The 10224-nt window shown below is 39.8% G+C and overlaps 1 annotated feature.

The window, feature by feature from the left end:
- Positions 4246 to 5034: an enhancer, noted in NCBI's record as "OCT4-NANOG hESC enhancer chr13:95648475-95649263 (GRCh37/hg19 assembly coordinates)". NCBI's record gives its function as "activates a minimal SCP1, AML or CMV promoter by ChIP-STARR-seq in naive and primed H9 embryonic stem cells {active_cell/tissue: H9 hESC(naive and primed)}" and the evidence as "EXISTENCE:reporter gene assay evidence [ECO:0000049][PMID:30033119]".

The raw sequence follows: 10224 nt of genomic DNA, 5'->3' as shown, positions 1-10224 counted from the left end.
GGCTGCTATCTGTAATCCCAGCACTTTGGGAGGCCGAGGCGGGTGGATCACCTGAGGTTGGGAGTTCGAGACCAGCCTGACCAACACGGAGAAACCCCATCTCTACTAAAAATACAAAATTAGCTGGGCGTGGTGGCGCATGCCTGCAATCCCAGCTACTCGGGATTATTAAGGCATGTGTTATATAAAATGAAATTCACCAACTTTCAATGTTCAGGCTAGAGTGCAATGGCACGATCTCGGCTCACTGCAACCTCTGCATCCCGGGTTCAAGTGATTCTTCTGCCTCAGCCTCTTGAGTAGCTGGGACTACAGGCGTGCGCCACCACGCCCGGCTAACTTTTGTCTTTTTAGTAGAGACGGGGTTTTGCCAGGTTGGCTAGGCTGATCTCGAACTTCTGACCTCAGGTAATTCACCCTCCTCAGCCTCCCAAAGTACTGGGATTAAAGGCGTGAGCCACCGTGACTGGCCAGGGATTTATTTTTGATACATTATATTTGCACATATTTATGGAGTACATGTAAAATTTCATCACATGCATAGAATGTGTAATGATCAAATCAGGAATTTGTATTTAGGGTATTTGTCACCCCAGTTATTTGCCATTTCTATGTGTTGGGCATATTTCAAGTCCTTTTTTCTAGCTTTTTTAAAAGTATAATACATTGTTGTTAACTATAGTACTCTTCCATGATTAGAACTTAGTTTTCTATCTGTTTGTACCCAATAGCTGACTTCTCTTCATCCGTCTCTTCCACTCACACGCCTTTCCTAGTCCCCGGTGTCTGTCGCTTCACTCTTTACCTCCAGGTGATCAATTTTTTTAGCTCCCACATATGAGTGGGAACATGTGATAGCTGTGCCTGGCCTTGTAGATTCTTTTTTAGTGAAAGGTCTGTTCAAACCTTTTGCTTAATTTGTGAGTTGTATGTTTATTATTGATAATTTATATGCTTTTAATACACATTATAGTGGAAAATTAATAACAGATTTGATTTGATTTGATTGAGAATGAACTATATCAAAGATAAAATAATCTTTTGGTTTATGCTTTTTATTAGGAAACACAAACATATTGAATAGGTATTTAGTGAACTCTATCTTACATCTCTATCATGTATTAATGTCTGGAACAATGGGACTGAGTCAGAACTTCATATCAGCTGCAACATCAAGTCTATTCATTTTGTTTTTGTTGGCGCACAGAGGGTGTTGTAGCAAAGGGAAGGAGAACACAAATGGCGTGTTTTGCAATATTTGGGTACCCTTGCAATGGGGTGCTCCAAAAATCATTAATTATTTCATCTTGGATAGCTCACCTTCCAGTTTTTCAGGATCTGGGGCTGAAATTATTCTTCTTCATTCTGAACTGTTCAACTTTGTGCTTGTTCAGAGCCACAAAGTTGGCTTTTGATTTTAAACTGCCATCTTTCAGAAAGCTCCATGTGGAAAGTTGAGTAGAATACATGTTTTAACATATAATGAATATTGAATACTACTACAAATATGTGCTGAAATGACAGGCTGGTAGTTATCTAATAGACAGCATACCACCATGAACTGACAAATGTTGCTGGCATATCCACAGGCACCATGCAGTCACGCATCAGGTGACCGCCTGGCTTCCCCAGGTGTACACTACCATTTTTAAAAGGGACCTAATTATATTTTAATAGTATTCTCTGTATTAATATATTTAATATTGATCTGTATTACATATGTAATTTAAAAATACATTTTAGAAGAAGATACAGTCGCCCCTCAGTATCCAATGGAGGGATTGGTTTTAGGACCCCTCGTAGATAGCAAAATATATGGATGCTCAAGTCCCTGATATAAAATGATATAGTATTTGCATATAATCTATACAGTCCTCTCATACTTTAAATCATCTCTAGATTACTTACAAGACCCAATATAATACAATGTAAATGTTATGTAAATAGTTGTTATACTGAATTTTTTGAATTTTATTATTTTTATTGTATTTGTTATTTTATAGTATCATTATACTGTATTTTTATTAAATTGTATAGTATTGTTATTGTTGTATTATTTTTATTGTATTTTAAAATATTTTCTATCCAAGGTGGGTTGAAACTGGATGTGGAATGCGTGGATACAAAGGGCCCCACTGTATATCCTTGCATACAAATTAAGAAAAAATAGCTACCTATGAAGGTGACAGTCTGAGAATCCTTTTGTCAGGCAGATTCACATTCTTTAGGAACATTAAAAAACCCACTATTCACAAAGTTGGAAAATCTGCAGACAAGATGAATGTAAGGGTATTTCAATTTTTAAATTTGATTTTTAATTTAATTTAGGGTTTTGTTTGTTTGTTTGAGACAGGGTCTCACTCTGTTGCCCAGGATGGAGTGCAGTGGCACAATCATGGCCCGCTGCAGCCTCAGCCTCCTGGGCTCAAGCAATCCTCTCACCTCAGCCTCCCAAGTAGCTGGGACCAGAGGCATGAACCACTACACCTGGCTAATTTTTTAGTTTTTTGTAGAGATGTGATTCCACTATATTGCCCATGCTGATATTGAACTCCTGGCTTCAAGCAATCCTTCATCCTTGGCCTCTCAAAGTGCTAGGATTACAGGTGTGAGCCACTGTGCCTGGCCAGTATTTTAATGTTATAATTCAATTTTACTACAATGTAAAACCCATGCACATAATTTTTGTTAGGGGAGAGATTGGGAGAAAGAAATATAGAAGTAGAAATAAAGCCAGAGCAAACAGAGAGACAAACACAAAATGATGCTGCTTCATGATATTCATTCTCTCTCTCAACACACCCACTCCTTCCTCTCTCTCTCTCTCTGTTAGACAGAATTTAAGATGTTCTCACATTCCTGGCTCTGATATGCACATACCTTTCATAGTTATTCAATCATACGCTAACTAGGTGTTGCTGTAAAAATATTTTACAGATGTAATTAAGGTTCCAAATCAGTTGGCCTTAAGATGGGGAGATGCTTGTATGCTCGATCTCTGGGTCTAGAAGTGAGAAACCTGGAAGCCAGAGAAACGTGAAGTATGAGACAGGCTGAATGTGAGGAAAATGGCAGGAGCCATGCGGCCTTTGATGTGGGTGGCCTCTAGGAGTTGAGAGCAGCCTCACTGACAGCCAACAAGGAAAGAGGGGCCTTGGTCTGCAAACAGCAAGAAACTGGATTCTGCCAACCACCTGAAAGAACTTGGAAACAGACTCTTTCCTAGAGCCTCCTGTGATCTTCTTCTCAAAACATAGAACCCCAGTCCAACCAGAGAGTATCAGACAAACCAACACTGAGGAATGTTCTACAAAATACCTGACCAGTGTTTCTCAAAACCCTCAAAGTCAGCAAAAACAAGGACAACCTGAGAATCTATTGCAGTTAGGGAAAGATGATGGCTAAATTTAATAGGTTAAACTGGATGGATCCTGGAACAGAAAAGGGGAATTAGCAACAAACTACTGACATCCAAATAAACAATAGAGTTCAGTTAATAGTGTGCAAACATTGGTCCCTTGGTTATAATAAATGTACGGTAGTAAGGTAAGATGTTAACAATGGAGGGAACTGGGTCTATGCAACTTTCTGTAAATCTAAAACTATTCTAAAATAAAAGATTTATTTAAAAAACTGGTCATGAAAATGAGTGTTTATTGTGTAATGCTTGAGGCTGTAAGAAATTATAGCTACCATGAAAAAAAAAATCAGGCAATGGCCAATTAAATTTTAACATCAATTAGATATAAAGACTTTTCATTGTTGTCTCATTAAACACTCCACCTTTTAGAAAAACACAATGCACTGGTTGCTTTTTATTTTACAGAAATTAAATTTATCAGTGTAAGTATTTACCAACTTCTAACAATATGCATTACCCAATTTCTGGACTTCATCACTGTTTCTTGCCTCATTTCTTTATCCTGGATTTGGCTTTCTTCCTGTAAAGTACTTATGTTACTTTATTGAGGACATAGGGTAGTGTTAAGGACTGAAGGTTTGTGTCCTCCAAGGTTCATATGTTGAAGACTTAACCCCCAGTATGATGGTATGAGGAAGTAGGGACTTTGGGAGGGTTAGATGAGGTCATCAGGATGGGGTTGTCATCACAGTGGGATTAGTGCCCTTATAAAAAAAAATACCAGAATGCCCTCTCCCTCTCCCTCTCCACCTCCCTCTCCACCTCCACCTCCCTCTCCACCTTCACCTCCACCTCCACCCCCACCCCCACCCCCGCCTCTAGGAGAGGACACATCCAGAAGATGTCTGTTTACAAGCCAGGAAAAGGACCCACACCAGGAATCAAATCAGCCAGCACCTTGATCTTAGACTTCTCAGCTTCCAGAACTCTGACTGACTTATTCCCAGTTTCAAGCAGTTAGATTGGCCCCATCCATTGTCTCACATGGGCCCATCTCTGCCCACTTTTGAACCAAAGCTGAACACCTCTGGATTGCCTCAGACAATAAGAAGTCACATGGAGTTAAATCCCAGTGAGTAGTCTTTAAAATGGACCAAGCACATCTTAAGATGTGTTAATGACCTTAACATCTGTGGTGGTTATTCCCTCATTTGACCCATCCCGATCCATTGTCTGTTTTCTCTCCTGCTAGGAGAGAAACCTGCTGGAACTGCTTTGAGGGCTGACTTCCACAACAGAAGACATCAGCAGGAGATTGGTGGGCTGGAAAAGTGGGAAGTGGAGGCATGGCTTCCTTTTCCTTCCCTGCTTCAGGGAAGCATCTTTGGCAGCAACTGTGTGCCCCTCCAGACCCCTTGTGGCTACACCTCTTCCTTCTCACTCTAGCTTTCACCAGGCAACAGACACCATCTCTCCTCTTTGTCACTTCAGTCTAATGCTTGTGACAACTTTCCATTGTTGCTAGTTTCTAGGTTTCACTCTTAGAGATTAAAGATGCTGGTTTCACTCCAGTATCTTTGTAGTATCTGCCTTTTTATGATGAAAATGTAGGTGGCTCAGTAGCAAAGGTTTTCTCCACTCCCCACTTCCAGAGCTCTAGGAACCTAAGATGTATTTTCATTTACGCATTTACTCACGAATTCATTCATATACACAACACTGTGCAAGATACTGCTACAGACCCTGTGATAAACACAAAACATGTGACACATAGGCCCACACATCATGGCATAATCTGTTTCTCTAGCTCCTCACTCCATTCTAACACCCTGATAACATGGCGTCCACTGCCTTCTTATCTTAATATTTCTTACCTTGCTTTAATACCTAACATTCCTTATCTCAATAACTTTTCCACTTCCTTCATCTTACTCCAATTTTTATTTATCCTCCAGAATTTATTAAAGTAATATTTCCTCCAGGAAGCTACCTCTAATTCAGTGGTCTGATTGACATGTCCCTATTCTGTGATTCTTCTCAGAGTATTTGGTATAGAATATACCAGATATTATGCTAAGCACTTAATGTGGTTTTTTTTTTTGTTTGTGTGTTTGAGATGGAGTCTTGCTCTGTTGCCCAGGCTGGAGTGCAGTGGTGCGATCTCTGCTCACTGCAAGCTCCGCCTCCCAGGTTCATGCCATTCTCCTGCCTCAGCCTCCCCAGTAGCTGGGACTACAGGCGCATGCCACCACACCAGGCTAATTTTTGTATTTTTAGTAGAGACGGGATTTCACCATATTGGCTAGGCTGGTCTTGAACTCCTGACCTCGTGATCTGCCTGCCTTGGCTTCCCAAAGTACTGGGATTACAGACATGAGCCACTGCTCCTGGTAGGGTCATTTTAATAATCCTCACAACAGCTATATGAAGGAGATATTTTTATGTCCCCTTATCACAGATTAGGAAACTGAGCCTCAGTGTGTTTCAGTGGTGGAGCTGAAGCTGGGATTTAGTTTTTTCTTTTTTTTTGGACAGGGTCTCATTTTGTCACCCAGGCTGAGTGCAGTGGCAGCCTCAACCTCCTGGCTCAAGTGATCCTCCCACCTCAGCCTCCCAAGTTAGAGCTGGGATTCTAACCCAAGCAATGCAACTTCAAAGACCATCATGCAAAACTCCTTTATATTTAGCAAATAATAACAACTTATTACAATTCTTGGGGTTTTTTGTACCTGTTTCCTCCACATAATTATAGTCTAAGGACATTATTTGACTCATCTATGCTTCTCCAGTGACTACTACAATGTTATTAGGGGAGGAATAAAATCATTCTCAATGTCAAAAGCAGCAAAAAGACTAGTGCAGTATTCCCCAGTGCTTATACTTGCTATGGAGGAATTCACAATTAGGTGAGGGGTGGGAGTGGCTGACATTCCAGAATCAACTTTTACAAAATATTAAAAGTGAGTCTTAATCACTCCTAAAATATGTCCAAAAACATTTTACCTTTCTAGTAAAAAATTTCTTTGAGTTTTTGCAGCAAAGTTTAGGTTGTAATCTAAATGATACAAGAAAAGATCCATGCTTATACCATTGCTTTTATGTCTTATTGTTCTCAGGAGCAAATATTGAATATGTTAGACACTCCATTAGCATTTGAGGGAATAGTAATTATGGTAATGGAGTGAGTGACGCGAAGGTGGCGGTTTGAAATCCTGGGCATCTTTGTGAGTTCTGTCTTACCAATAAAAGTCACTCTGGAAGCACTGAGGCCACAGCAGTCTTCAGGAAAGCCTCCTGTTTTTCATTCAAGGGCAAGACATGGGTATGCAAAAACACATTAAAATAAATGGGGGAAATGTCTGAATCAATTTTTTTTTTTTGTATGGCATGGACTTTAGAATGAGACAGAACTAGCGTTGACTTTATTTCCACAGTTTACTAATGTGGCCTTGAGCAAGTTATACTCTGTGAGATAAAGTTTCCTCATTTGTAGACTGGAGATAGTCCTTAATTCTATGGCTATCATACAGCTGATATGCATGAGCATGGCTCTCCCAGCCATTAGAAAATGCTAAATTACTTCTGAAAGAGTTCACACAGCTCTCTTGCCTTGAGCCCCCCCATGTGCTTTTTCACCATTCAACTTCCCTGGCCTCTCCCATAAGAACTCTTTTCCCCCCAAAGTGCCCATGATCCAGGAAATAAAGGGTTAATGCTTGGTGCATTCTGGGCCTCCAGGATCCTGCCAGGTGCACAGGGATTCTCCAACATATGTTCTGATACATAGATGCCTATGTTAATATTTTGAATATCATTCCACTTTCATAGGATGTTTGGACAGATGAAATGGTTTACCGTTTATAAAGTTTTTTGCACACTTCCTAACACATAGTAAATACAGAATGCATCATATTTTTAGTGAAGATTTTTTTTTTTTATTCTGGCTTTGGATCCATTGCCTCATCTTCTGGCCACAGATGGTATTTTTCATGCATAACCACCCTGGGTATGGGGTGGGGGATAGCATGTCATCAATCCCGACCAGTCAAAATATTTCACCTCTCCCACTCACCATTCTTGGCACCGGAATGGAGACATGACCCAAAGTTGATCCAATGAGCCATGTTTAGCTTACACTTTTTAGGGGAAACAGATGAAGAGGAATTTGGAGTGGTTGCCAAGTAATCTCTACAGTCTCTTTCAACTCTTAAGAGTCTGCATCACAGAACACCCAACACGGGCTACTCAAAGTCATATTCAACTTTAAAGGATGAAAGACAGCAACCTGAGTCTATCATGTGAATACCTGTATACAGCAAAGCGTGCATGTAATTCTGAGCTTTTTAGGAATATTAATGAATTTCCTACCTCCCCTCTTTTTTTGTTTAAATATGTTTAAGTGGGGGTTTTGACAGTGAAAGAGTCATACTACATGGCTTGATGTTATGATTATCTGGCAAACATGTAGATAGTACTTTCCATATGCCATAATCCTACCTCCTGCTTTGAAACTCTGTGTGTCTCTGATCCCTCCATCCATCCATGACATCCAACTGATGGCTTTCTGGAGGCTGGGAACACGGAGGCTTGCTCTCCAATTGCTTCCTTTTGGGACCCCCAAAGGAAGATCTTCCTGCCTTACATTTTCTTCTTTATTTGAACACCGCCAGTGAGCCAATAACGTTTCCCTCATGGAGGCTGTGAAATCCCCTAGGGCAAAGACCACATTTTTCAAATAGTCATTGCTCCCTGGAAGCAATGTATTTCACCAAAATGGGTGTCAATAGCTGTTGGCTGACACTCTCAAAAGTCAAATAAAGTGGAAAAAATATCCATAGTTTGTGATCAATTAAGGCTGTAACTGTACTAATATTCCCGGTTGATCAGCAACTTCTGGGCATTAGAAAGTCTGGTGTCCTAATGGTCACTCGGAATCCTTCATAGACATCTGAATCAGTGATAAATATGGCCTGAATCACTGGTCTCTAAAATGTCAGTGGCTTTCCCTTGCATTTGGACTTCATAACAACCAGATCAGGTCAAGTGCCTGGCATTTCAGTCAGTTCTGCAATGGCCCAAACAACAAACAACCCCAGTCAACCGACTGTGGGAACTGCACTTACTATGATGACTGAATGGAAAATGAATATGTGCAGACTTTTTTCCAGGCCACACCCTCTACCTGGTGGGCATTTGAGGACAGAGTTACAGTGCGGAATCTCCTGGCAAGCCTCCATTCAAAGTTTCTGGGACTCAATCATTCAGACAGGAGAGGACTGCCCTCTCTCAGCACATCTAGAGGAGAAATTTTAAAAATTTCCCTGCTGAGTCCTTTGTGGAAAATAGAAGTTGCACAATTCTTTCGGATAATAGCTCCCCCAGGGAGCTATTGTTCTCGGAAACCCACTCACATTTTTTGGAGCTGCGTGAGGGAATAAGGTTGTATGATGCCACATGAGACAACTCAGCTCATTTTGCTGTGAGGTCAAGAACAGAATTAATCCAGGACACATTCTTAAACTCGGGGCTTTTTATTCTGCAGAGGGACACTCCCCAAAACCCTTTCTTCCATTTGGCAGGACCCAAAACTCAGGCATTTGATTTGATTACAACTTATTACTTTTAGTTGAGTATTCTGAGAAAGAGACTTTGGGAAGCGTCTTAGAGATTACTTGGCAGTCGGGCCAAATATCTCTTCCTATGTTTTCTTAAAGAGTGTAGATCGCACAGATAAAAATTGAATTCCAAGAACAGCTTTGAGTAGCTCCTAGTTCTCTATGGAAAATGTGCAAACAGACTCTAATATAATACAAGAAAGCAAAACAATAAACATTGTACATAATACACTTTTCACAGAAAGACCTGAAAACTGGGAATTTCTCAACCAAATGAGTCAGGTAAGAGAAATCATAATGAAACATCAAATACAAAGAAACACAATAGATTTGATAGCACAACAGGGTGATTATAGTCAATAATTTAATTGTACATTTAAAAATAAGAGAAAGTATAATTGGATTATAACACAAAAGATGAATACTTGTGGGGATCTATACCCCATTTATCATGATGTGATTATTTACTCATTACATGCCTCTATCAAAACATCTAATGTACCCCATAAATATATTCACCTACTATGTACCCACAAAAATTGAAAAAAAAAGGAAACATCATAGACATATTCAATAGCACATGGCTTGTTAGAATGTGCTGAAAAACACAGAACACTAAGATATTTTAAGTGAACATTGAAGTATATGAACATAGGTATCTAAATTCCTTAATTATTGCATTCAAGGGAACAAAGATTAAGGTGCCATAACTGTCTCCCAAATATTTACTTTGGGGATAAATCTTTCCATGTTTGCTTTTAATACTTAGGCAATTTTTAGAGAAAGAAAATCAGATGAAATCCATTCAGCCACTTCTAATTATGCAAAGGAAGGAAACAATATGCTCTGCTTAATATAAAAAAGAAAAATTACAATTGACTGCATATCCCTTTGATGGAAACAATGTCCTTCACTATGTCTCTGTGTGTGAAGTTTTTGGTGATGTATTTTTGAGATGTTACTTTCCACAGATAAGGGTCTGGAAGATCGATTTCTTCAGGAAGCACCTGGATGGTGACTGACAAAAAGAACCAGAGACTGGGCAGCACCATAAAATAATCTCATTCATTTCTTCAGACCTATAGAATTTAACTTGATGAACAAATGGGCTGATAGAATCTAAATCAGACATCTTGCAATTTCCAGAGACTTGGTGGGTAGGTCTAGAACAGGGGTTGGGCTTTGACAATGGAAGATATTGAAGGTCATTTCTGATCATTGAATGGAATTAACCTACCTCAGAGTACT

Source organism: Homo sapiens, chromosome 13 (genome assembly GCF_000001405.40).
Source record: "Homo sapiens chromosome 13, GRCh38.p14 Primary Assembly".
Lineage (NCBI taxonomy): Eukaryota > Metazoa > Chordata > Mammalia > Primates > Hominidae > Homo > Homo sapiens.
This window is presented reverse-complemented; position numbering and strand designations above follow the sequence as displayed.